Source organism: Homo sapiens, chromosome 8 (genome assembly GCF_000001405.40).
Source record: "Homo sapiens chromosome 8, GRCh38.p14 Primary Assembly".
Taxonomy (NCBI): domain Eukaryota; kingdom Metazoa; phylum Chordata; class Mammalia; order Primates; family Hominidae; genus Homo; species Homo sapiens.
Window position 1 is genome coordinate 27416168 of NC_000008.11, and position 26384 is coordinate 27442551.

A 26384-nucleotide genomic window follows, 5' to 3' on the forward strand; every position below is an offset into this window, starting at 1 on the left:
AGAAAGTGGCCAGCTGATTCTAACATTTATGTGGACATGCAAAGACCTAGCCCAATAATCTAGGGGATGGGGAACAGCGGAAGACTTAACCCTATTTGACTTCAAGATCTCATGTAAAGCTACAGTAATGCAGACAGTGTGGTTGACATTGGTACAGTATAGACAAAGATCAATAGAAAAGAAATGAGAGTTCAGAAATAAACCTAGATGGCCAAATGATTTTTGACAAAGAAAAGCAATTCATTTGGGAAGGGAAAGTCAACAACCAATGCTGAACAACCGTAGATCTATATTTTTGAAAATGAATACCATATACAAAAATTAATTCACAATAGATCACAAAACTAAAAATTAAAACTGTGAAGTTTATAAAAGAAAACATAGAATATCTTCATGACCTGGAGGCAGGCAAAGATTTCTTAGGATACAGAAAACGCTAACCATGAAAGAAAATGTTGACAAGTTAGACTCTGTCAGAAGACATTGATTAGGCAATGCAGAATGGGCACACTACAGACCTGGAGAAAATATTCATAAAATACATCATACAAAATACTTTTACCTAGAATGTATAAAAGCCTCCTACAACTCTCCTGCAAATGAAAACACAACAGAAAAAATGGGGAAAAGATTCAAACAACCACTTTACAGAGGAAGGTATATGAATGGCCTATAAACACATGAAAACATGTTCAATATCATTAGTCATCAGAGAGATGCAAATTACAAGCACAATGAGACACTACGCACCCACTGAGATGGCTAATATTAAAAAGACTGACAACACCAAATGTTAGTGAAGATGTGGTGTAACAAAAGTCTCATGTCACAGGAGAAATATAAAATGGAATAATCCTGACAGTTGCTCATAAAGTCAGACATACATCTATCTTTGATCCAGTAATTCCTCTTCTCAGCATTTATCCACAGGAAATCACAATGTATAGTCACAAAAATACTTGCACATTGATGTTCATAGTAGTTCAATTCACAATAGCCAAAAATTAGAAATAGTCCAGGTGTTCGGAAGCAGAAGACCAAATCAACATATTGTGATTCATTTACAAAGCAGAACATTACCGATTGATAAGTAGGAATGAATTTCTGATATATGCAACAACATGATGGATCTCAGACATTATGCTGAGTGAAAAAAGACACCAAAAAAGTGTATGCTAAATGATTCCATTTATACGAAGTTCTAGAACAGGCAAAACCAATTGAAAGTGGTGGGGGTAGGGTAAGGTTGACTGGAGAGGCGGGAGGTAGTGGGGCCATGAGGGTGGACTGAGAAGGGATATGGGGGAGTTTTCTGGGGATCTGGAAAGTTCTATACCTTAATTGGTATGTGGGTTACACAGTTGTATTCATGTGTCAAAATTGTATAGCTTCAATTTATGCATTTTAATGTATAGAAATTTTACATTTAAAGAAGAACTGTAAAAAAATAATAGTTGAGTCACAGCTGGGGAGTGGGTGGTGATATTGATGAAGCAAGAAGGCAGAAGGTTGGTAATTGTTGAGGCTGGGTGATGCGTACATGGGGGTTTATTATACTCTTCTGTTTACTTTGTATATGTTTGAGATTTTTGATAATCAACAGCACAGGAGTTCTAGCCCTGAGGAAATTAGATATTAGCCAAGTAGGTTTCAGCTGGAGCAGGAGAGGACTGTAAGTTCAAAAGCACCAGTGGTGGGGGCTCCAGGAGGGACTTGGGAGTGACGTGGGGGCTCTGAGTAATGCATTATTCCGGATGACAGTGGACAGAGCAGGGCAGAAGGTCAGGGACAGGAGAAATGGGTAGAGAGGATGACAAAATGGTTAACTTCACGGGCTTGCACTCCTCCCCCAACCAGATGTCCCTCTCACTGTAGGAGTGCCACTGATCCCAGTCTTCATCCCCTCCAGGGCCTCAGTTCTGATTCCTGCACTGGTTGTTACAACTGCTCACAAGTGCATTCTGTGCCTCTGTTTCCCCATCTATCTCACAGAGCAGTCGTCACCCTCTGTGACGGGCATTTTCTTTCCTAATGGGGAAGGGATTTTTCAGGCTGAGGGTCTTCTAGTTTCACAACTCCCTGGAGTCCAGAAGGGCTAGCAAGAGGCAGTTAGCCCGAGACAGATGGGTGCCCAGGCAAGCAAATAACTGGGCATTCCTTCAAACCAGGATTATCTAAATATTAGCATGACATTTTCCTAGTGGAGAGAGAAAGAAATTTATTTACTTCTGAGAAAAATAATATGCCTCCTTCTTTTCATTCCAATTAAGGAACTGATTACAGTTGATTGACTAAATTAGAAACTGTCTTGGGAGGCATGTTAAGAAAATGTAAAATCTAAATAATCAAATGCCCCTCCTCTTTTTGGTTTGACAGCAACCTATTATGCATTATTTGGTCTTTAGGCTGATGTAGGCTTGATGGCACGCACATTGCAGACATATCCAACAGAGATACGTCGGTGCCTTCGGGTTTTTAAATTTATATCCCAGAGGACACTCTGCTCTGTCAGGAGTGAGCTCAATTCACCAACAATATGTGGAACTACATGAGAAACCTAAGTTAAAATGGCACCAAAGTCCGGGCGCGGTGGCTCACGCCTGTAATCCCAGCACTTTGGGAGGCCGAGGCAGGCAGATCACTTGAGGTCAGGAGTTTGAGACCAGCCTGGCCAACATGATAAAACCCCATCTCTACTAAAAATACAAAAATTATCCAGGCGTGGTGGTGCCTACCTGTAGTCCCAGCTACTCAGGAGGATGAGGCAGGAGAATGGCTTGAACCTGGGAGGCGGAGGTTGCAGTGAGCCGAGATCACATCACTGCACTCCAGCCTGGGTGACAGAGCGAGACTCCATCTCAAGAAAAAAAAAATGGCACCAAAGTGATTTCAGAACTAGGCAGGGCCTTACAGATGGACTTCTAGGCAGCTGCCCGGTTGGCCCACCTGTTAATCCATCTCTGGCTCTAGGCCAGGAAGCTGTGGCATCAGGCTGGGAGACAGGCAGTCTATTAACCTCCGGTTAACAAGAAAGCAGGAACAAGAGGGCACGTGGTTTCTTGCCAGCACTCATTTCTTGTGTCCTTGCTCATGTGGGGATTGTGGCACTTAATCCTTCCAAGTGAATCTTGTCCTTATCTTTTCCAGCCCCACCACTCCATGAATCAGCTTGGCCTAGTAGAAATCCTCAGTCTAGTGTCCCAAGATTCCAAATCCCAGTTCCATTCCGTGGGTTGTGGGACATATATTAGTTTCTCCATCAGCCACACGGGATGGTAACACCTGCTTCCCTGTGTTGTGTGGATTCAATGAAATCATGTCTGCAAAGGGCCTAGCAGTGCCTGGTGCAGGAGCTCAGTGATGCTGGCTAAATTGCAAACCACTCAGAAGGTCTGCTGTTCACATAGTGGATGTTCCGTAATTATTAATTGGTTAGATTGTAATGAGGTGCAGAAGCAAATTTTTGTTATTCTCTGCCTCTTTGCATTTTCTCCTTCACTTCTGCTCTCTCAGTTCCTCTGTCTCTGCCTCATTTCACCCATTTGTCAATTTATCAGATAGAGCCCATTGTGTACAAATCTTCCCCTAAATGCTAGAGAATCAGAGACAAATCGAACATGAAGACAGAATCCCACCCTAGAGAATCCCACTTTTCAGGTCTGTGTGAGAATTATGGGAGCCCAAAGGTGGGCACCCCTGAGTCATGCCTCTCTCTTCTCCTCTGCAGGAGATCATCACCTCCATCCTGCTGAGCGGGCGGATCGGGCCCAACATCCGGTTGGCTGAGTGCTATGGGCTGAGGCTGAAGCACATGAAGTCCGATGAGATCCACTGGCTGCACCCACAGATGACGGTGGGTGAGGTGCAGGACAAGTATGAGTGTCTGCACGTGGAAGCCGAGTGGAGGTAGGAGTGGATTCCTGGGCTCTGGAAGTGGGAAGGAGAGGAATTTAGGGTGGGGAGGCCCTGGGAGTTTCTCCCTTAGAGCACTCCCCTGCCTCAGAAACTTCTAGCAAACCTGAGTGGCATTCTAGGCTTAGTCTTCCTCCAGTATCCAATGCATGTATTTTCCAGGACCTAACCTGGGCTTCATAGACTATCCCCATCCCAGAGCCAACACCTAAAGGTAACCCTAAACGGGATGCTGACAGTGCTAGGGGAAAAGAGAGACAGAAGGGTGGGGAGGATGGAAAGCCCAGGTCCAGGGCTAGCCTGTGAACCTAAGAGAAACAGCTGCCATGAGGGAGAAAGGTGGAGAGTCAGGGATAGCTCAGACCACCACCTGCCAGCCACCTCCCTGTTGATGGTCTCCAGCCCAACCGCAGAGGAGGGAAAGAGAAAAACCAGCCCTGAATGAGTGGCCACGAGACTCATGGGCAGCCCTTCCCTTTGCACTAGGGGATGGGCTTGCTTCTGCCCTTGGGGTCCTACTCCTTTCTTCAGGCACCAGCTTCTCTGTGTCAACCAGAGCCTGAATGTCTTGTTGCAGGTATGACCTTCAAATCCGCTACTTGCCAGAAGACTTCATGGAGAGCCTGAAGGAGGACAGGACCACGCTGCTCTATTTTTACCAACAGGTAAAAAGTACTTTATCTTCTTGCCCCGAGGCTCCCATTACACCTCAAATGCCAAGCATGAACCGTTCTCTCCTAGGGAGATGGAAAGACAAAGCCCAGATTATGGAGGGCCCAGGCTAGGAAGCTTCTCTTGAAGAAGGTCCTTGGTCTATGGTCCGCGGCTCCAACCCTGCTTTTCTCTCAGTATTTAAGCACTGGCTAAACTGCCCCATGTGCTCCCAGCTCCTCTTGGACTTTTCTGGTGGCCCAGGAGACCTGGCTAGTGAAACAGCAAGAGCAGGTCCAAGATGAATCCTGCAGTGCTTACTACACAGCTCTGCAGACTGTTGTCCACTAATCTAGCTCTGCCATTCACTAATCTGATAGCCTGGGGGACCTCATTTACTTGCATGAAGCTGTTTCCTCTGCTGTAAAATTATTATGGGAATCATAATAATAATACCTACTTTATAGGGTTGTTGTAGGGACCAGATGATATCATTGGCTGCTAAATTGACTCTCCAAAGAAAAATTCCCTTACACGTAGCACTTACCTATTTATTTATTTATTTATTTATTTATTTATTTATTTATTTATTTATTTCAATGGGTTTTTTGGGGGAACAGGTGGTGTTGGTTACATGAATAATTTCTTTAATGGTGATTTCTGAGATGTTGGTGCACCCATCACCCAAGCAGTGTGCACTGTACCCAATGTGTAGTCTTTTATCACTCACCCCTTCCCACTCTTTCCCCAGAGTCTCCAAAGTCATTCTTATGCCTTTGCATCATCATGGTTAGCTCCCCCTTATGAGTGAGAACATACAATGTTGGTTTTCCATTCTGGAGTTAATTCACTTAGAATAATGGTCTCCAACTCCATCCAGGTTGCTGTAAATGCCATTATTTCATTCATTTTTATGGCCCTTGCCAATTTCTATGGTGTAAATACCACCCCCCTCCTCAGCCTATTTCAAGCTACTAATAGGATACCTACTTGGCTTACAAAACTTCTGAAAACTTAATAACCAGCTCTCAGCAGCTATTTTGAGCATCTCAAACTTCCTGGACAGAATGCGTATGGAGTGCCAAGCCCAGCACCAGGTGCAGAGCAAAGCGCAGCATCAGCAGGAGTGGCCATTGCTGTTTTCTGTCTGATATTAGTTCCTTCCAAGATCTCCCTCCTGGTTTGCCAGAGACTGAGCTAGACTTTTCTTGGCCTGTGAATGACATTTATCACTACTTACCAACAGAGCTTTGGATAAATTACTGACTTCTTGCAAAATCTCAGTTTTCTTCTATCCAAAATGGGGGGCAGGGGAGGGGAATCTGAACTTCCTGCCTGTGGAGCAGGGAGAGAATGCCTGTAAAAGCACCTCGAAAACCTCACAGGCTCGGCCTGTGGAGGCACAAGCACCCTTTCCCCTCGTGCTCTCCATCCCTGCTCCATGCTTGTTTGTGGTGGGGTGGGTGGCTGTCACTCAGGGAGGCAGAATGAGGCCCTTAATCTTCTGAGGCCTCTGTGCAGGGAAGTGGGAGGTGAGGGTGCAAGCCTGATGCTTGACCTTTCTCCCCACCAGCTCCGGAACGACTACATGCAGCGCTACGCCAGCAAGGTCAGCGAGGGCATGGCCCTGCAGCTGGGCTGCCTGGAGCTCAGGTATGTGGCCCTGAGGCCTCTGCTGGGAGGGCGCTGTGCTGAGCTCTGGGCAGGCCCGACCTTTCCCCATGTCCAAGATGGGAAGCAGGAATGAGTGTGTGGGAGCCAGGAAGGGGAGAGGTGGTGACCGGCAGCAGGTGAGGCTCTGAGGGGCTGGGTGTTGGGTCTTCAGGATGGCAGGGGTAGATGGGCCAGCCCCCTCCCTAGTCTCACTCTCCTGGCTTCCATTGCTGCCACTGCTCTTGCCTGCAGGCTGCTGGCTTCTTCCATCTGTCAACCACCTTTGCTGCTGTTCAAGCGATTCATCAGATGTTTCTTGAGCACCAGACTAGAATCTGGGGGACATTCGAGCCTAGAGATGTCTATCTGTGTTGCCCATTGCTGTATCCCCATCTCCAGTAGGCACTTGATCAATATGTGTGATATTAGTACATCATCCAGAGAGGCCCTCACACTTCCATGTTGGGGAGGTGACAGATGTGTATACAATTAATCATAATACGAGGCAGAATGAGGATGGCACCAACTTCCATGTAGGAGCCATTCATCCTGCCTGAGAGCATCAGCAAGAGGGTATCTGAATTGCCACTGGAAGGAGGAGAAAGATTTCAATCAGCAGAGAACAGGGGTCAGGGGAGATACACTCCAGGCTCAGGGATCAGTGGAAGGAAAAGCATAGACTGGAGAATCGTGAGCTTGGAGGGATAAGTTGGGGCTGATGGTGGAAGACACCATTGAGACAATGGCAGTCCAATGATATCATTAGAATGACATTGTTAGAATGACATAATTAGAATGACAGTCTAAAAAAATAGGCCTTATTCTTAGCTGCCAGGGGGTCATTGCCATTCAGGACTGAGGAGGGTGATATGGCTGACCTGTGTTCTAGCCCTGTCTTGACCAGGGCAGCACCATTGAGTTTCACCATCCCCTGCCTTTTCACCCTCTCCTTCCCTTCTCTCTACCCCTTCTCTGTCTTAGAGCAGTGGTTTTAACATCTGCTTGCAAATCATAATCACCTGGGAGCTTAATAAACTGGAGACGTCCTGGCCCTACCCTTGGGAGATTTGATTTGGCAGGCCTGGGTGGGACCTTATCCTAGGCGTTTTTGACCAGCCCCCCAGGTGACTTGAATGCCATTAGATATATGGGTTGATGGGATGACTTTCAGGATGACTGCCAAGGAAATCGTTGGCCAAGGATTACTTCCTGTTTTCTAGAACTGCATTTCCGGAGCCTTATCTGTGACCTCATGGTTAATAGAGAGTAGAACTCTGCTGCTGCTTCTACGGAGCCAGCTGAGGGGCACTGGGGAATTCTGGCCCCATTGTGATTCTCAGTCAGAGAGAATGCTGGGGAGTCCTCCGGTGGGGCCAGTAGGATGGGAAAGGGAGAGTCCCACTTTGATTTCAGCATCTGAGGCTTTTGGTATTAGCGACAGAATAGGTCAAGGGCAGCTTCGAGGGCTTCACATTTCGTGACTTTGTCTCAAGAAGCAAGGGAGCATTCGAGTCCTCTGTACAGAGGAGGCCTGTGGTCCCTGCAGCTGCTTAGAAGGCAGCCCAGCTCACTGCCATTAGTAATAATCATGATAGCTCAGTGCTGGCAGACCAGGGGCAGTCTGCAAAGTTTATTTTATTATCTGTGCCTTTCATCCCTTCTCAGACTGCTCGGCTCCTATGACTTGCATTACATCCTGTACTGTCTCATCTTCCCCTCTAAAATTAGACAAGTCGAAAAAGCTTATCTTTACCTTTTTATTTATGGATCTCATACCTGGGATGCTAGCATCACTTTGAGACACCTATCACTTGTCACCTGTCAAGCAGTCATCACTTAGTTGTAAAACAGCACCACAAAGACCCATTAACATTCTATTTTATTTTATTATATCCTCCAATCATCCCCAAACTATTACTGGTGGTGGCCTAAGCTCCAGGCACTGCACTAATGTATTGGAGGACAGGGCAAGGCATCCGACATGACTCCTGTAGGTAGTCTTGTCAAGAGTGTAACTGCTGATATCTGCTATAACCAATGCAGGATGATATTCTAAAAGCCACACTTGTTTTGTGCAAGAGATGTATTGTTTCACATCTCCTGAGTGTGAGGAACAGAGTCAGAGAGATGTTCCTATTCTTACTGGTTGACCACTGAAATGCCGGGTGTATGATATCAGGGAGAGGATATGGAAAACACCTATTTTGTAAACCAAATAGAAGATTTGCAGGTCTAATAATTTTTAAAGTTGAATGCAGTTATTTGTTATGATGAGCCATTTTAAAGTCAAGTTACAACTATTTCTCACCCAAAGAGAATTGGACACACTTCGGAAAATTAGGCCATAAGGCAGAATTTTCTAGGGCTGTGGCTCTTGCCTAAAAATGTCCCAGAGTGTGGGGCTACCTACAAATCATGGGCAATAACCCCTTGTCCTATTAACATCATTGATTAGGTCACCTGCCTATAGATATACAACATCTCCAGGAAAAAAAAAAATTGTATCATTTCCTAGCTTAAAAAAGAGGTATGATGTATGCCTGAGATATGAGATTAGTGAAATGAATCCTCCATGGAGTCATGTGTTTCCTGTGTTACTCTGGGCAAGTCGATTACCCGCTCTCTGCCCAGATTCCTTCATCTGTAAAATAGGAATGATAATAGTAACATTATAGTCACGTTGTGTTACTATAAAACACGTTATGTTTCTATATAACATTTGTTATACTATATAACATATATCTGTTAGTATATAACATATATATGCTACTATATAACATATGCTACTATATAACATATATATGCTAGTATATAATATGTATGTTATGTTACTATTGTATAGTATTGCATAGTATACTATAGTATACTATTGTATAGTATTATATGGTATTGCATGCTATACAATAGTAACGTAACAAACCTTGCAGGGTTGTTACAAAGAATAAATGAGTTAATATATTTAAAGTACTTAGAGCAACGACAGGGACCAAAGTATTCAATAATTATTTATTATATTTTACTTACTTTTTTCTCTTTACCCTTCTTTTGTTTGTTTATTTTGAATAGACTTTATTTTTTAGAGAAGTTTTAGATTCTCAGCAAAATTGAGCAGAAGGTACAGAGTTCCTATATACCCCCTTCCCCACACATGCACAGCCTCCCCCACTATCAACATTCTCCACCAGAATTCCCCACCAAAGTGGTGCATTTGTTACAATTGATGAGCCTACATTGACACATCATTATTACCTAAAACCTGTAGTTTACATTAGGGTTCACTCTTGGTATTGTATGTTCTATGGGTTTGGCTAAATGAATAATGACCTATATCTACCATTATAGCATTACGCAGAGTAGTTTCACTGCCCTAAAATTTGTCCATACTCCACCTATCCATCCCTCCTTCCCTCTAACCCTGGCAACCATTGATCACTTTATTGTTGCCATAGTTTTGCCTTTTCCAGAATCTCATATAGTTGGAATGATACCTAGTTAATTTTATTCATTTATTGGAGGTGCTTTATAAATGCCAAATGTTTGATCTAAATAATGCCTCTAAATGAAAGTTTGAAATTCAGGGCCTCTATGCTAGAAATCAGTACCTGCCCAGTTTGAGGAACCAAATAACTTCTCCCCCTTGATCTGAGACACCTAGGACCATTGTCCACCCCCAGCAGAGCCCTAAAACAACAGCAACAACAACTACAACAAAACAGAGAATACGTAACCCCAGATTAGCTAAGTAACTGTTAATAAATAAAGATTAGAGAAACGACACACAGCTTGCTTTGCTTCAAAAGGCATCTTGGTTTGTAGTTAATTTCTATTGATGTTTAGAAGAAAAAAGTAACCAACTGGATTTGGTTTAGTTATTTCCTTATTTTCTGCTGTCCTTACCTGGGTATCAGTCATAGGCTTGTATCTGATTATAGACTCCACCGCTGTCCACCTGGTGTTAGCTACTCAAAATTGCAGGCTTGAGCTGGAAGGACCAGTCAGGCACTAGAGGGCACTCCAGGTAGGCACAGCCTCACTCAGTGTTGGCGGTCCAGGCATATTTGGGAGACGTGGGTGCCCCTGGAGAGCAGCTGAGATGGGACTCAACACAGAAAATTGGGAAGCTACCTTACTGGGGAGAGCAGCGTCTCCCTTGAGTGATGGTTACTAGTTCTCCCAGACATTCCCAAGATGTTCAGTTGCTCCAAGACATTCCCAAGATGTTCAGTTGCTCCAAATGTTAGAAACACCCAGATTGTGGCACATCTGAGTGATTGGACAGTTTTGTCAATGGTGACTATATAAATGATCTTCGATGCCTGAGAGAAGGGCCATTTGGGACACAGGGAGTGGCCTAAGCAAGCTGGATTCAGGAGATTGGGGTGACCTTGATGTGCTAGCTGAGCTTCCTTTACCCTAATAAAACATTTTTCCATTCACTACCACCTTGATCATGCTAAAATGCTCTTATTTTTTATGTGACTTAATTGTTCAGTGTTAATTTCAAAATGTGTTTACCCTTTCATTTAGCTAACCCTGTTTTAAAAAATTTAATATTTAAATATCCCAGTCTTCCAAATTCTTTCTTCACAAGTCTCGAAGTTCATTTATTCATTCAACAACAGATCATAAGCCTGGAGTGGCTTTAGGAGACCACTCTCCGTCGTGGCTGGGAAGCAGATCTCACCCCGTGGGTGGGTGATGCATCCTCCTGCTTGGCACAGTCTTCTCATTTCCCTTTTCAGCGTAGTAAACTCTTCTATCTTCTGGCACCTTTAGAAAACATACTGAGCCCGTGTTACCTGCTTGTCCTCTACATACATAGGAAACCTCAGCGTGAGCCTATGAGGTGTCAATTACAAGCAGTGTGACCATCTGCTCTTCCCATCAAGCCAGCCTAAGGGTCTCTTCATCTTGAAGCCTTTTCTGCCCCATCCTGAATCCCTCCAGCCCCCTTTGCAAAACCACTGTACTTGCACACAGCTCTGTGAGGCAAGGACATGTCCCCGTGCACCAGATTGTGAAAATCTGTCAAATCCTTAGAGTCAGAATGGGTGCTGCCTTTGCCTGGCACATCAGAGCTCAATACACAGTTGAATAAATGGATAACTGAAAGAACTGAAATCTTCTTCCTCAGTGGACCTTTGCCAACATTTATTCTGTTAGAATTAAATAGTTGTGTACAGCAAGCCAATGTGTTCAGTTACCTAGGAGTATATTTTATGGCTCACTCAACCCAGGGGAACTGTAGATGACCAAGCTGCCTATAATCACCCAGAGGTGTCTTATTAATGTGGAGGCTGAGCAGGTAACACTGGCTTGACATGTTTTCTGAAGCTGCCGTGGTCAGTCGCATGGAATTTTGGGATCTTAACTGCAGGCACTCTTCAGGTGGGAGGAGGAAGAGGAGGAGGAGCTTCCATCCAGGGGAGAATCCTGGGTAGGCTTCTCATGTCCTATACCTCAGAGGCCCCCAACCTTTTGGGCACCAGGGACCAGTTTCGTGGAAGACAATTTTTCCATGCACCCTGGTTGGGGTGGGGGATGGTTTCAGGATGATTCAAGCACATTACATTTATTGTGTACTTTATTTCTATTATTATTACATTATAATATATAATAAAATAAATATACAACTCACCATAATGTAGAATCAGTGGAAGCCCTAAGCTTGTTTTCCTGCAACTAGACAGTCCATCTGGATGTGATAGGAGACAGTGACTGATCATCAAGCATTAGATTCTCATAAGGAGCGTGAAACCTAGATCCCTCACATACATGGTTCACACTCCTATGAGAATCTAATGTCACCACTGATCTGACAGGAGATGGAGCTCAGGCAATATAGCAAGTGATGGGAGACAGCTGTAAATACAGATGAAACTTCAGTCACTCACCCACTGCTCACATCCTGCTCTGTGGCCAGCTTCCTAACAGGCCAGGACCGGTCCATGGTCCAGGGGTTGGGGACCTTTGCTACACCTGAATATCATTCCTATCTGCCAGTCTTCTGGTTTCCAATACCGCACATCTGCCCTTAGCAAGAACATCCCATCTCAGGCACCATTGCTTACCTCCCTCTGTCAGACACTCAGTACAGAGAAGTAAGGGTAGGGAAGAACCCATCTTCTTAGTGTTCTAAGTTCTCTTCTTGGATCAAATTCCCAGGGTTTTCTAGCCTCACTACTGCTGACATTTGGGGCTGGATACTTCTTTGTTAGGGAGGATTGGGGGTGGACTTCCTGTGCATTGAAGGATGTTTAGCAGTATCCCTGGTCTCTACCCACTTGATGCTGGTAGCACCACCAACCCCCTACTCCAACTAGCTGTGATAACCAAAACTATCTCCAGACATTGCCCAGTGTTTCAGGCTGGGGCACAGAGTGCAAAATTGGGACCATATTTCTTAAGAGGTAATTACTTATTTTGCTTGACAGTATATTCAAAGATACCATTTATTAAAAATTATTAAGGATATAGCGTTTTACATTTTATATTTTTATTAGATATTTCCTCTATGATTTCATGCCTTGAGTGTCTTCTTTTTAATTCTTTTGAGACGGAGTTTCACTCTTGTCACCCATGCTGGAGTGCAATGGTGCAATCTCGGCTCACTGCAACCTCCGCCTCCTGGGTTCAAGTGATTCTCCTGCCTCAGCCTCCCGAGTAGTACGTGCCACCATGCCTGGCTAATTTTTGTGTTTTTAGTAGAGACAAGGTTTCACCATGTTGGCCAGGATGGTCTCAATCTCTTGACGTTGTGATTTGCCCACCTCGGCCTCCCTAAGTGCTGGGATTACAGTCATGAGCCAACACATTCGGCCTAACCTTCCTATTTTCTAAAGACAATGAACTGTCTAAAAGTCATTGCTTTTGAATCATAAGTTACTTCCCTCACTCTGCTTATATTATTAGTTGCACAAAACTTTTACCAGATATTTATAAGGATGCCCGAATTAAAGGAACACTGAATGACTTTAATATAAGATCAGGAGTAGGATAATGTCTGCAACAGTCAATGAAATTACTAGTCACAGTGGCCCAGACAGGGAAGGGAGGCTGGCACATGTGAGAACATTAGCTATTTGGTCTCAGCTTAAGCCACAATTGCATAAAAGTATTTATCAAGGCATACATTTTTAGGGGAAATGAGACTTAAATAATATGAGTAAAATATTAATAGCTGCCTCCTCTGGTAAGACTATGAATAATTTTATTTTCTTCTGTAAGTCCTAAAGTTTGTATATGTACAGTGGTACCTTTAACAAGTGTCTAAATGAACACACAAACATACACACATATAATATCTCAGAGATAGCAAATAAGTGAAAAGGAAATCACAAGAGCCCCCCAGGACCTGCAGGTGAAGGTCAGTGTTCCTAGGCTGATCATTCAAGCATTGGCTGCCTTGGGCCTTTGTTCTTAGAGGCCACAGATGGAGCCACCATCTTCCTCCTCAGCCCAGTATCTGCCCATTCCTAAAGTGAGTTTCCTAGGATGCAAGGCTGGAGTCTTTTCTTGGAATGACATTTGTGGGGTTTCCTTTTCCTCACAGGTCAAAATACTAAATTTTATGACTCTCCTAACTTCCTTTCTCCTGATGATTCCCACGTATGGCAGGGGAAGGGGGCTTCTGGTGGCATGAGGTGCCCTGGGTCTGACTGCCTCATTCTCCAGCCTTCAGCCTCCCTCTCCACCACCTATTTCTCCAGGCGGTTCTTCAAGGATATGCCCCACAATGCACTTGACAAGAAGTCCAACTTCGAGCTCCTAGAGTAAGTTCTGGGATCACCCATCTCCCCTCCCTTCCTGTCCTTCCATGTGTACTTTTCCTCCTCACCCTCTCCTCCACCCCTCCCCAGACCAGAGCCACATAGGGCCGTCTCTAGGTCCCAAAGCCCTCTCACCTCTTCCTGATTGGCCCGCAGTCCTGTGGTGGGGGTGAGGGGGAGTCACATGCTGCCTTTTTCTTCCTTCTTGCAGAAAGGAAGTGGGGCTGGACTTGTTTTTCCCAAAGCAGATGCAGGAGAACTTAAAGGTGAGGAAACCAATGGGCGAGGACCTCTTCGTGCTGATTCCCGAGACTAGAGTGTAAGGGATGAGGCTGGGGCTGGGGATACTCAGAGAAGCCAGGGTATCTGCGCGGCCTCGGGCATTTGGACACAGGACCACTAAATGTACCCAGGGGTCCTCTCTGGGGCTGGGGATCCAACTGTTACATGCCTGGGCTCCGGCTCCGTATCGAGGCCGTATCAGCTCTGCGGCCCCAGTACTGGGAAGCTACCCCTCGCCCCCTCAACCTCCTTCGTAGGGTTACGGGGAGTCTCCCTTGAGACAATGGGTATGGGTTTTAGGTCATAGATCACAGCTGCTTTTGGGGCAAAGGCCCTGGGGATCATTTTCGAGCAGTGGGCAGTCTCTCAGCGAGACCCTAAGGGAAGGAGTGAGACCTGGGAGGAGCAGGCATTGCTCACACGGCCCATCCCCTCCCCCAGCCCAAACAGTTCCGGAAGATGATCCAGCAGACCTTCCAGCAGTACGCCTCGCTCAGGGAGGAGGAGTGCGTCATGAAGTTCTTCAACACTCTCGCCGGCTTCGCCAACATCGACCAGGAGACCTACCGCTGTGAACTCATTGTAATGGCGGGCTCTCTTGATCCTCTCCCTGACCTGGATTCCAGGCCTCTCGGAAAAGGGGGCCAGGAGGGGGCAGGGAGAGGCTGCAATCGCTGCAGATTCTCACTCAGGCAGCAGGACCTCGCTGACCTGCCGTCGGTGGAAGTCAAAAGCATCCCCTTGCCTGAAGCAGGCACTGAAATGTTGGCCTCCAGCTCTGGGAGGTGGGCAGGACAGGCAAGGTGTCAGGAGGGGAAGATCCATATGGCCAGGGTTTCGGTGAGAAGGAGCTGGAGACCCAGGAAACAGTGGCTTGTGTCTAGCTTAGGGAGCTTTTCTTCAAGTTTCTGAAGAATGGGGAGGACAGCTCTGGAACAACAGTCCACTCTCCTTTTATTCCAGCAAGGATGGAACATTACTGTGGACCTGGTCATTGGCCCTAAAGGGATCCGCCAGCTGACTAGTCAGGACGCAAAGGTAGAGAGACCCGGGGCAGCCCCACCCAGCCCCAGGCGGGGAGGTCGTCCCCTCTCTGCTGCCTCCCGCCCTGTCTGCCCCTTCAGTTCTTCTTGCCCCTGTTGCTGAAAGCAGAGTTCTTCTAAGGCCATGCCCTGGCGTGAGCAGCAGTGGAGAGCATTTAGAGATGGCAGCATGGGACAGATGGCCCTTTACATCCCTGTGACTGTCATCTGCACAGAGGTGGTGGGAGGGGGAGACAAGGCCTCAATGATTACTCGCAGAGCTCAGCAGTGTTGCTCTTTCAGTGACAATATAAGGCATGATTCCCTTGGAAGTCAGGGGACCTGGGTCCAGTCCTGGCTCCACTGCCAGCTTGGCACATGATGTTGAGCAAGTCCTGGCTTTCTCTAGACCTCATTTTCTCCTTGGCATAGGGAGGGGCTTGGTCTAGATCAAGCCTGTGGTCCCAGGATGGCTTTGAATGCAGCCCACCACAAATTCGTAAACTTTCTTAAAACATGTTGAGATTTTTTTGTGCGATTTTTTTTTTTACCTTCATCAAGTAGTGTTAGTGTATTTTATGTGTGGTCCAAGACAATTCTTCTTCCAATGTGGCCCAGGGAAGCCAAAAGATTGGACACCCCTGAACTAGAGGATCCTTCTAGCCTTAATAGTGTTTGATTCTCTCTTCATCTCCCAGAGAAACTCCCAGTTCCTCCTCACCCCGGCTCCCCCATACTGACCAATCTGCATGGCCTAGTCCTGGTAGTGGGATGGTCTGAAGCTCCCCCTTCTTTTCCCACAGCCCACCTGCCTGGCCGAGTTCAAGCAGATCAGGTCCATCAGGTGCCTCCCGCTGGAGGAGGGCCAGGCAGTACTTCAGCTGGGCATTGAAGGTGCCCCCCAGGTGAGTGTCTCTGGGCACTGGGCACCTGGCAGCTCTGCAGGGGGTATAATGGCAGATTGGGAGCTCTTGCTCAGACCAAAAGTCTGTGACACACAGGAAGCCAGGAGCTTCCTGGCTTTGGGGATCGTGTTAAGAAAACTGCACCAAGTTCTTAGACAAAAGGTACCAGGATGATGATAAATTGTAGGAAAATTCGGGAAACAATTTTTTTAATGTCAGGAGAAGAAATTGGGAAGGTTTTCAGGTAGTGGAATGTTCAAGGTGACCAGAAATCAGGTATAAATCACAGGCCTAAGTTATACCAAGAGAACAAGGATGCGGACATCAAGACCTCAAAAACATGGGTTTTTTTGTTTGTTTGTTTGTTTGTTTTTTACAGTAAAACACCCAGAGAGACCTCAGGCTGCATCTCTCTCTCCTTTCACCCATCTGTGCCCTGCCCCATTGCCTCCCCTTCCTCTTTCTTTCTTTCTTTCTTTTTTTTAGACAAAGTCTCACTCTGTCACCCAGGCTACAGTGCAGTGGTGCAATCTCAGCTCACTGTAACCTCCACCTCCACAGTTCAAGAGATTCTCCTGCCTCAGCCTCCTGAGTAGCTGGGACTACAGGTGCATGCCACAAGGCCCAACTAATTTTTGTACTTTTAGTAGACACAGGGTTTCACCATGTTGGCCAGGCTGGTCTCAAACTCCTGACCTCAGGTGATCTGCCTGCCTCGGCCTCCTAAAGTGCTGGGATTATAGGCATGAGCCACTGTGCCCAGCCCCCTCTTCCATTTTCTCAGTTTCTGCTTCTATTTATTGAGCACCTACTAGGTACCAGGCATCGTGCTATGTGCTCAGAGGCCAAAATAAGTGAGGCCTGGGACTGGCCTTTGGAGAGCATGGGCGTACAGGTGAAAGGGGTGACAGAGTGCAGTCTGGACTCCAGGGCAGGGCCCCAGGAGAGGTGCAGACAGCATTGGCATCCAGGCAAGGGTTGTGGCAGGGGTCCTGCCATCTCTTCTCCAGCCCTGGGGGTGGTCTCTAGCCAAGGCTCTGGGGTCTCACCCTTGGCTGGTCTCTGCTCCGCAGGCCTTGTCCATCAAAACCTCATCCCTAGCAGAGGCTGAGAACATGGCTGACCTCATAGACGGCTACTGCCGGCTGCAGGGTGAGCACCAAGGCTCTCTCATCATCCATCCTAGGAAAGGTGGGTTCCATTTAAAGGTAAAGTGGCTGGACCACGGGTGGCAGCACACCCGAGTCCCCAGAGGCGGAGTGGCAGAAGCTAAGCCACTGATGGATAAGTGAATGAGGATTCTTCCCCCACAGCCCAGCGGGAAGCTTCCAGTGGGCCCATCTTAGGCTTTAAGCCCTGGCCGGTCCACCTACCCACAGCCCTGCTAATCAAGGTCCACATAGAGGCAGCTTCTGGAGGAGAGGCGTTTTAGCCCCAGCAAGCTCAAAGCCATTGCTAGTAGAAGGCTGGTCCCGCCTGTGTGTGTCTCCATCTTGGGTCAGATTCAGGAAGCAGGGGTCACAGCTGGAGCACGTGAAATCTGGCCTGAGGCAGCCTCCAAGGAGGATTCCACTTCTGGCCCAAGGCCTCACTAGCTCCCAGGCTAGGAGAGAATGGAATTAGGGGCTGGGATGGGAGGAGAGTCCCTTGTAGGAATAGTGAGGAGGTCAGTCACCCATCCAGGTCCCTGTGTCCCCAGCTCCAACCTCCTCCTTCCTCCTCTCTTCCTAGATGGTGAGAAGCGGAACAGCCTGCCCCAGATCCCCATGCTGTGAGTACAATGGGGTGCAGAGGACAGGGCCCTGAGCTCAGCCTGTGCTGCTGAGAGGAATAAGAATAAACTGGGAGTCCCCACCTCCATAGTTTCTGGCTTTCAGGCCCAGGAGAACCCTGAAAAAAGATGATCTTTCCCTCCCAATAAATACCTGCAGGAATATTCCTATGCCTTCATGCCACCTGGTGTTATCCTGGGGGGTTGCTGCTGTCCCCCAACTCCAGCCCCCAGCAGCCTGGGCTGTGCTCCCAGGTCATTGCTAATTTGGACAGACTACTTCTCCACAGGGGGCAGGAGGAGAGGGCGGGCCGAGGCTGCCCAGGGGAACATTACCGGCCTCTGAGCTCACCTGGCTTCTGCTCTCTCACCTCCTACAGAAACCTGGAGGCCCGGCGGTCCCACCTCTCAGAGAGCTGCAGCATAGGTGAGCTGCCCGCTGCATCCTCCACCTGCTCCAGTTGCCTCCCGTCTGCTTGCTCCCCACTGCTTGCTCTCGTGACATTGCCGAGGGTTTCCTCCAAGTGACAGAAAAATGATCCTCTCCCATAACTTCTCAGTGATGGCTTTAAAATATCGTGAATTATGGCTGGGTGCAGTGGCTCATGCCTGTAATCCCAGCACTTTGGGAGGCCAAAGTGGATGGATCATGAGGTCAAGAAATCAAGACCATCCTGACCAACATGGTGACACCCCATTTCTACTAAAAATACAAAAATTGGATGGGCATGGTGGCATGTGCCTGTAGTCCCAGCTACTTGGGAGGCTGAGGCAGGAAAATAGCTTGAACCTGGAAGGCGGAGGTTGCAGTGAGCTGAGATGGCACCACTGCACTCCAGCCTGTCAACCCAGCAAGACTCCATCTCAAAAAAAAAAAATCATGAGTAGTAATCGCTAGTGTGTATTGAGTACTTAGTACATGGCTTAAGCAGCTTGGGCTGCCATAACAAAATACTATAGACTGGGTGGCTTAAAACCAGATACTTTATTGCTCACAGTTCTAGAGGCTGGAAGTCCAAGATCAAGGTGCTGGCTGAGTCTGCATCTGGTGAGGGCTTTCATCCTCATTTGCAGATAGCTATCCTTTCACTGTGGGCTCACGTGATGAACAGAGAGTTCTGGCCTCTCTTCTTCTGTGTACATGAGCACAGATCCCATTATGGGGGCTCCACGCTCAGGACTGCACCACCTCCCAAAGGCCCCACCTCCTAATCCCATCGCATTGGGAATTAGGGCTTCAACAAAGGAATTTGGGAGGTACACAAACATCCAGTCCTTAATGGTATTAAACATGCAACAGGTATTATTTGATTCAATCTTTATAGCATCCCCCAATACTCATTTCATAAAAGGGAAAACTGAGATTAAGGGAGATTAACCAACTTGCCCTAAATAATGCAAATCGGGAAGCAGAGAGCAGGGAGTTCAGCCAAGGTGCCCTGGGCTCTGTGGCCACTCTAAAACCTGGGCTGGGAGCCCGGGACATGCCTGGCTTCTCCTCCTACCCCCTTGGGCTCCACTGGCCTCCAGCAGGGAGCCCCACACCTGATTCCTGGCGGTGCCCACCAAGGGCATCTTGTCCACGGCTGAGCCTCTTCCTGTTGTTCCAGAGTCAGACATCTACGCAGAGATTCCCGACGAAACCCTGCGAAGGCCCGGAGGTAGGTTCTCGACCCCGCCACAGCGACCGTAGTCAAGGCCCTGTGAAATGACATGGCAAGGACTCTGGTGACACCACAGGGAACATTCTTTTCCTCCTTTATCCTCCCTTCGTGCTAGACTTAGACAGTGGCAAACCTGAGATGCCTTGGATTTGAAAGCTGAGATTTTTTTTTCTCTCCCTATACTGATTGACCTTTTGTGTGCCCATGGAGCTGTGCGGGGATTCTAGTAACGTGGACCTGGGACCTAGCCTTCAGAGGGAGCAGGGTGATGGCTCTTCCCTGGGTCTGAGACAGTGGAACATTCTAGACCCCCATTTCCCCAGCCCAGTCCCTGGATCTTGGCTGAGGTGTTATAGATCTGGTGACGCCTGGCTTTAGAGCCTGCAGACACTCAGGTTCCCTAGGGGATACCACCGATCTCTGTGATCTGCGACTGTTTTCTCTGTCTGTGCAGGTCCACAGTATGGCATTGCCCGTGAAGATGTGGTCCTGAATCGTATTCTTGGGGAAGGCTTTTTTGGGGAGGTCTATGAAGGTGTCTACACAAATCACGTGAGTTCTAGGATCTTCCCTTACACTCCTCTTCCACATGTCTGTAGGGTGAGACAGAGCTCGAATCTGAGCAGGTTGGAGTTGGCACAGCCTTCATCCACTTGGGGCCCCTTGTCCCTAAGGGCCTCTTGTCCACTGGGCATGGTGGTATTTATTAAATACTCAAAGAGTGGTGGAGACAAGAGTCATTTCCAAGAAGGGTAGCAAAATACCAGGGGTGGAGATATAGGCAGAACCTGGAGAAGGGTCAGTATTCTTGGTGGGAGAATACAAAGGGGGAGGCGGGATAAAGACAGTTCTGAGAAAAGGTGAGGCAGGATCTGGAGTTAGTGTCAAGGCCAGTGATGGGGCAGGGTAAGGCTGACCGCTGTGGTAACGCTTCTAGCAGGCCCAGGGGAAGAAAGAAAGAGGCAGTAAGAATGAAAAATCCAATGATAGAGAAAGGCCCAGCCCCCAGGCATGATAATGGCTTGCAGGTGCCTCTGGCTTTGGGCAGGTCACACGGCCCCTCAGTCTCAGTGTCCTCATCTGGATGGCCAGGGGCTTGACTCATTTGACCACTACAGCCCTTTTCAGTTCTAACAGACCCTGATCAAGAAGAAGGGGAGTGGAGAAGGAGAAGAGAGGAAGACAAAGGGGAGAAGAAGAGAGACATAGGAGAAAGGGCCCTTTCCTGGCAGCAAAATCTGCAGGAGGCCATGGGGAGGCCAGGAGGGAACATTCTGCTGAGCACTGGGCTGGACCAAGGGGTCCTGAACACACTCTTGTTACAGAAAGGGGAGAAAATCAATGTAGCTGTCAAGACCTGCAAGAAAGACTGCACTCTGGACAACAAGGAGAAGTTCATGAGCGAGGCAGGTAGGGACCCCTGAGACCAACCAGGCCTCCAAGATGGGAGGGGCTTCAGCCTGGGAAGAGAGGGGTGAACAGTGCAGGGACCCATGTTGGAGGAGGGGTTCCCGTCCTCCCAGCTAGAAGAGCAAAGGCCTTTTCTGAATTGGACCTTTGAGCCGCTCCACCTGTCCCTCTTGCCCCACCACACTGCAGTGATCATGAAGAACCTCGACCACCCGCACATCGTGAAGCTGATCGGCATCATTGAAGAGGAGCCCACCTGGATCATCATGGAATTGTATCCCTATGGGGAGGTGAGCTGGAGGACCCTGCGATGACAACTGGGCTGCAGCATGGGGGGCATTCAGAGCACAGCCCATTCCTCCCAGCTTCCTGACTTCTGTGTTCCACTGAAATAAGCCAGAGGCCCTGTTTGTCAAGGAAATTGCTGGAACATTTTGCCAGCTTTGGGTTTGTCTCCCACCGCCCCCAGGGAAGGGTCAGGGGTTGCCAGCACCCTGGTCCCCTGGCTCCATACTGGGACCAACCAGGGGTCTTGATGGCACCTCCCCATTCCTGCAGCTGGGCCACTACCTGGAGCGGAACAAGAACTCCCTGAAGGTGCTCACCCTCGTGCTGTACTCACTGCAGATATGCAAAGCCATGGCCTACCTGGAGAGCATCAACTGCGTGCACAGGTAGGGGTGGAGGGAGTGGCCAGCGGTATGGAAGCCAGGCCTTCACCAGATCCTCAAGGCCTCTGGGTAGAAGCAGGGCTTGTGGGTGACACAGAGCAGTGTTGGAATCCCAGCAATTGGCCCAGCAGCTTTGAGCACTTGAGCAACCTCTCTGACCCTGTGTCCTCATCTGTAAAGTTGCAGGCACTGTATGTACCTCATGGGGTTGTTACGAGTAACTCTGAAGTCCGAGGTGTCTGTCTATATATCAAGACCTTCTAGCCCCTCCCCTGTGAGTGCCAGGAAATCGCCCCCAACCTTGCTCAGAGCTTGCTCACCTCCAGCTCCCTGGCTTGGTGGCACATGGCCCAGGAAGAAGGGACTGGGCTGGAGCAGGGCCAAGAAGATCCTGGGGTCCTAGGCCAGACATCACCCTGGTTGCCGACACCCCTGGGCTGCCAAATCCAAGTCTCCCTGTGGCTGTGGAGTTGGCCCCTGCTTTACCTGGCTTTGTTCCCATTCCCTGCCATGAGAACCTGACCCCCAAGGGAGTCAGTGGTTGGGCATTACCCACCATTGACATTGGCTCTGTGGCCTTGTGCCTGACTCAGGGTGTGTGAAGCTCTCATGCGATCCTGGTATCCTAAGTGCCCCATCAGAGTTAGCTGTGCTGCCGCTGCCACTCCTGCTATACCAAAGACCTAACCAGTCCTGTGGAAATGCAGATGAGAGAGAATACCTGTGTTCAGGGAAGTGGTTGGAGTTTATCCTTGAAGAATCACCAGGTGACAGCCTCCCTGGCATGGGGGACAGTGTAGGCAACAGCACAGAAGTGGAGTGTAGCAGATGCCAGGAATCTGAGCCAGGCTTCAAGCTGGAGATGGATGAAGGGGTGATGGGAGACAGAGCCCAACAGCAAGAGGGAAGGAGATGGCAAAGCACCTGTGCATGTTGGGGTGCAGAGGGGCCAGCTGGGCTCCCACCTGAGGTGTGCTGTGGCAAGACCACTCGATGGGGGCAGTGACCCACAGAAGCTGCCCGATTCTGCTCTGGAGTCCGAGTCCCTGGCTTAGATTCTTGGTCTCTTTTTCCATCTGTCTGTCCATCTCTCTGTTCCTGCTCCCATGGGGGTGGGCAGTGCCTCATCCTGGTCTTGATGCCCTTCTTCCAGGGACATTGCTGTCCGGAACATCCTGGTGGCCTCCCCTGAGTGTGTGAAGCTGGGGGACTTTGGTCTTTCCCGGTACATTGAGGACGAGGACTATTACAAAGGTGAGGGGGCTTCCCAGCCTCTGCATTGGCCTTGGAGGGGTCGCTGAAGCCAAAAATTCCAGAAGAAGGAAGTCTACAGTTGGACAGCCCAGGCTAAGGGTCTTCAGAAAGTAGGATGTATTTCTGGATAATTCTGATCTTTCTTCCCTAAAAATCAACCTCTTTGCCCACCCAAAGCCTCTGTGACTCGTCTCCCCATCAAATGGATGTCCCCAGAGTCCATTAACTTCCGACGCTTCACGACAGCCAGTGACGTCTGGATGTTCGGTGAGTGCTGATTTGGGAGGGCATGAAAAGGTGTTCAGATTCTCACTTCTGAACCAGGCTAAGGGGGTGGGTGCAGGGAGCAGGGGTCTGACCTCCACCCTCCGTTCCCAGGGTTCTATTTTGCTGTGGCCACTGAGAAGTCTCAGAGGTGGGGAGGCCAGTAGGGGTAGGAAGGGGAGTGACCCAGGCTAAGGACTGGCCTGGGCTGTGCAGGCTCATCTTCCTGGAAGAGGCTCTTGTGACATGTGTGCTCCACCTACCAGCCCCAGAAACTAAGACGAAACTCTGTGACTTATTCTGAGAGAGGTACAGGAAGGAGAGAGAGCAAAGGCAGGTGTAGAGAGACAGCCCCTTACGGAACACCTCCTGCAAACCATCTCACTTAGTGCTCCCACAGCCAACCCTGTAGAACATTATTATTACTCTCATTTTCCTGTTACGAAAACTGAGGCTCAGATGAGTCAGGAGCCTGCCCGCAATCACACAGGCACCAAGTGTTGGTGCGAGGCTTCCATTTCCAGCTTTACTAAGGAGTGGCTCCCCTCCCTCCTAAGAGAAGACACTTGTGGTCCCAATAGCATGCCATGACTGCCACCTCTTGATCCTGCAGCACCCTGACAGGGGTCTAGCGAGCAAGGCCTTAGGTCACTTACTGCAGAGGTAGGTCACTTGTCCCTCGGGCAGACCACCATGGTAGGCAGGACCCCAGGGTGCTGGAGGAGGAGGAGGGACCGCAGGAGCTGCTCCTGGTGGAGACTGAGTGCTAATGGCGATGGTGCTTCTGGGTGGGAGGGACTGGTCTCCCCCACCCAGGGCCTGACGCTCCCTTACACCCCAGCCGTGTGCATGTGGGAGATCCTGAGCTTTGGGAAGCAGCCCTTCTTCTGGCTGGAGAACAAGGATGTCATCGGGGTGCTGGAGAAAGGAGACCGGCTGCCCAAGCCTGATCTCTGTCCACCGGTCCTTTATACCCTCATGACCCGCTGCTGGGACTACGACCCCAGTGACCGGCCCCGCTTCACCGAGCTGGTGTGCAGCCTCAGGTGAGCATGGAGTGTGGGCTGTGGGCTGGGGGCCCACCCGGCTGCACCAGGGAGCAAGACCAGCACACAGAGAGGTTTGCACCACATCTCCCTAAAGAAGACGGGCCAGGGTCAAGGACAGGAGGCTGAAGCCAGGTTCACTGTCAGATATGAGCTCAGAGATAAGGCAGCCGTGGGGAAGCCTGACTCATCTGGGCATCTGTCAACACAGAGCACAGAGCCTTGTTCAAAGGATGTGCTCAGAAAATATTTTCTAGGTTAGACTCAAAAGCCTGAGCCAGACTCTCATCGAAGTGCCTGTGCTCTTTGTGATGTTGAGGCATCCTACCTGCTTTCCTCTCGCCTTGTCTCTCGACTTTGATCTTTCCTCCCAGATAGCAAGGAAGGGAGTGATCTTTGACCTGTTTTCAAGACTATGACCCAGGGGCCACCTCTCCCTTCTGAATGGGGGATAAGGGACCTGAGGGCCCGTCGGTGCCCAGGAGCCATGATTCCCTAGGTCTGGGGAGGTCACTGGGGAAGAAGGTCATCTGTTTCAGAGGTTCAGGGTCCCCCAGTTTTCTTGGTGGCAAGCCTGCCATTAGCCCTCCTGTGGGAGATCTGACTTCTTTTGGTTTCCTCTGGGGTGGGAGTCAGTAAGCATTTTCTATAAAGGGCCAAATAGTAAATATTTGGGGCTTTGCTGTTTATGCAAGTCTCTGCCAAAACTGCTAACTCTCTTAGCTCAAAAACAGCCACAGACAATACATCGATGAATGGGTGTAGCTGGGCTCCAGTGAAACACCATTTTGGATGCTGAAATATGAATTTCAAATAAGTTTCATGTGTCATGAAATATTTTTTGTCTTTTAATTTTTTTCAGTCATTGAAACAATGTGAAAACCATTCTTCATTTGGGTCCATACAAAAATAGATGAAAGGCCAGATTTTCCCTCTGGGCGCTTATTTGCTGAACCCTACTTTAGGGAGTCTGGAACTTAATTGACTTGAAAAATATTTTTAATACTGTACTTTAATACTGATTTTAAATACTGTAGTCAACATGTTGCCTTGTTTGATTTTAGGGCAAGTAAACAGTCCCTGAAAACTGCCTGGTGGGGAGGCACCCCAGGGGATGCCAGCAATGCCCAGGCCAGGGGCACTGAGGGTGACCCTGCATGTTTTCTGTGGGGCAGGGCCTTCAACATCATCTGTAAAACCTCTGGCTTAAAAGGCATCTCTGTTCCTCTCTATCCCTTCAGTGAGCCTCCCAGTTAATTCTAGACTCCTGTGTTGGTCCCTTGTATGGGAGGTTTGAGAAGTCAAAAGGCTGCAGGATAAAAGTATTTGAAGGATGTAATTTGGGAGGTTAAAAGCCCTGGGGGGATGGAGCTGGGAGTCCTGATTCACTCTGAGGCCTTGAGAGCCACAGGGAGCTGTGCAGGTGTCTCTCCTGGGCTGAGAGGTGTTCCCATCATCTCCTGGGCTGAGAGGTGTTCCCATCAGAGGCATCGACCAGGCCTCTGCCACAAGTGGAGGTGGGAGCAGGTTTCTGGTGTGATCTGGAAAACACTGAAAGACTCAGAAGACCCCAGGTTGCTTCCTCAGACCACCACCTGACTCTTCCTCCTTAGAGTTCAGAAGGGATTTGATCAGTGTTTCCTAACCGTTCCAGGGAGGAAAGGCCCTTCTAATGTCAAATTTTGAGTGTCTCTGTGTAACAATAGTTATATTTTAAAAATCTTTTGCTGAACAAAATGTAGTGGGCTATATAATGCATTTTTATTATACATAATAAAATATATACACACTTGAAAATATAGTATCAAGTGTCACATATTCAGTAGTATATAATACTTGCTACCCATATGAACATGTGGATTCATGGGCAGTAATAATTCCAGAGTCCTCTGGGGTCTGTGATTCCAGGTTAGGAGCACTGGATTGGGTAAGAAAGGTGAGAGGCGCGCACATGGCTAGCCTGGGAGTGAACCCACATGCCTCATTAGCACATACCGGGGATGCGTTGGGGGATGTTTCATGAGAAATAGGAGATGTAGATTCTAGGCCAGGGCCATGAAGTTGGCTGGGACTTTGGAAATCTACATAGGGGTTTGGTGCCAATCACAAG

General features: G+C 48.4%; 1 protein-coding gene and 1 non-coding gene across 44 annotated transcripts in view, besides 3 other annotated features; both read left to right on the plus strand.

Moving 5' to 3' along the window:
* PTK2B (protein tyrosine kinase 2 beta) overlaps positions 1-26384 on the plus strand; it is a 148886-nt gene that overhangs the window by 105662 nt on the left and 16840 nt on the right. For 33 of the 43 annotated variants that reach the window (XM_047421544.1, XM_047421545.1, XM_047421543.1 and 30 more), the window contains 19 exons: positions 3728-3906; positions 4490-4577; positions 6137-6216; positions 13926-13988; positions 14197-14251; positions 14709-14849; positions 15231-15305; positions 16093-16194; positions 17268-17385; positions 17926-17965; positions 18346-18392; positions 19576-19626; positions 20084-20181; positions 20955-21039; positions 21229-21329; positions 21598-21713; positions 22864-22964; positions 23142-23231; positions 24070-24274. In XM_047421544.1, the coding sequence (XP_047277500.1) occupies positions 3728-3906; positions 4490-4577; positions 6137-6216; positions 13926-13988; positions 14197-14251; positions 14709-14849; positions 15231-15305; positions 16093-16194; positions 17268-17385; positions 17926-17965; positions 18346-18392; positions 19576-19626; positions 20084-20181; positions 20955-21039; positions 21229-21329; positions 21598-21713; positions 22864-22964; positions 23142-23231; positions 24070-24274 (1835 nt within the window). The remainder of the gene's footprint in view (positions 1-3727; positions 3907-4489; positions 4578-6136; positions 6217-13925; positions 13989-14196; positions 14252-14708; positions 14850-15230; positions 15306-16092; positions 16195-17267; positions 17386-17925; positions 17966-18345; positions 18393-19575; positions 19627-20083; positions 20182-20954; positions 21040-21228; positions 21330-21597; positions 21714-22863; positions 22965-23141; positions 23232-24069; positions 24275-26384) is intronic. The other 10 variants (XM_047421552.1, XM_047421551.1, XM_047421549.1 and 7 more) reach the window with 1 other exon arrangement.
* Positions 10045-10339: an enhancer, noted in NCBI's record as "tiled region #13363; K562 Activating DNase matched - State 12:CtcfO". NCBI's record gives its function as "activates a minimal TATA promoter and a strong SV40 promoter by Sharpr-MPRA in K562 cells {active_cell/tissue: K562}" and the evidence as "EXISTENCE:reporter gene assay evidence [ECO:0000049][PMID:27701403]".
* Positions 10045-10339: a silencer, noted in NCBI's record as "tiled region #13363; HepG2 Repressive DNase unmatched - State 12:CtcfO". NCBI's record gives its function as "represses a minimal TATA promoter and a strong SV40 promoter by Sharpr-MPRA in HepG2 cells {active_cell/tissue: HepG2}" and the evidence as "EXISTENCE:reporter gene assay evidence [ECO:0000049][PMID:27701403]".
* Positions 14168-14884: an enhancer, noted in NCBI's record as "H3K4me1 hESC enhancer chr8:27287852-27288568 (GRCh37/hg19 assembly coordinates)". NCBI's record gives its function as "activates a minimal SCP1, AML or CMV promoter by ChIP-STARR-seq in naive H9 embryonic stem cells {active_cell/tissue: H9 hESC(naive)}" and the evidence as "EXISTENCE:reporter gene assay evidence [ECO:0000049][PMID:30033119]".
* On the plus strand, positions 17203-17267 carry MIR6842 (microRNA 6842). The gene has a single exon (NR_106901.1). It is a non-coding gene; the product is annotated as a microRNA 6842 (primary transcript).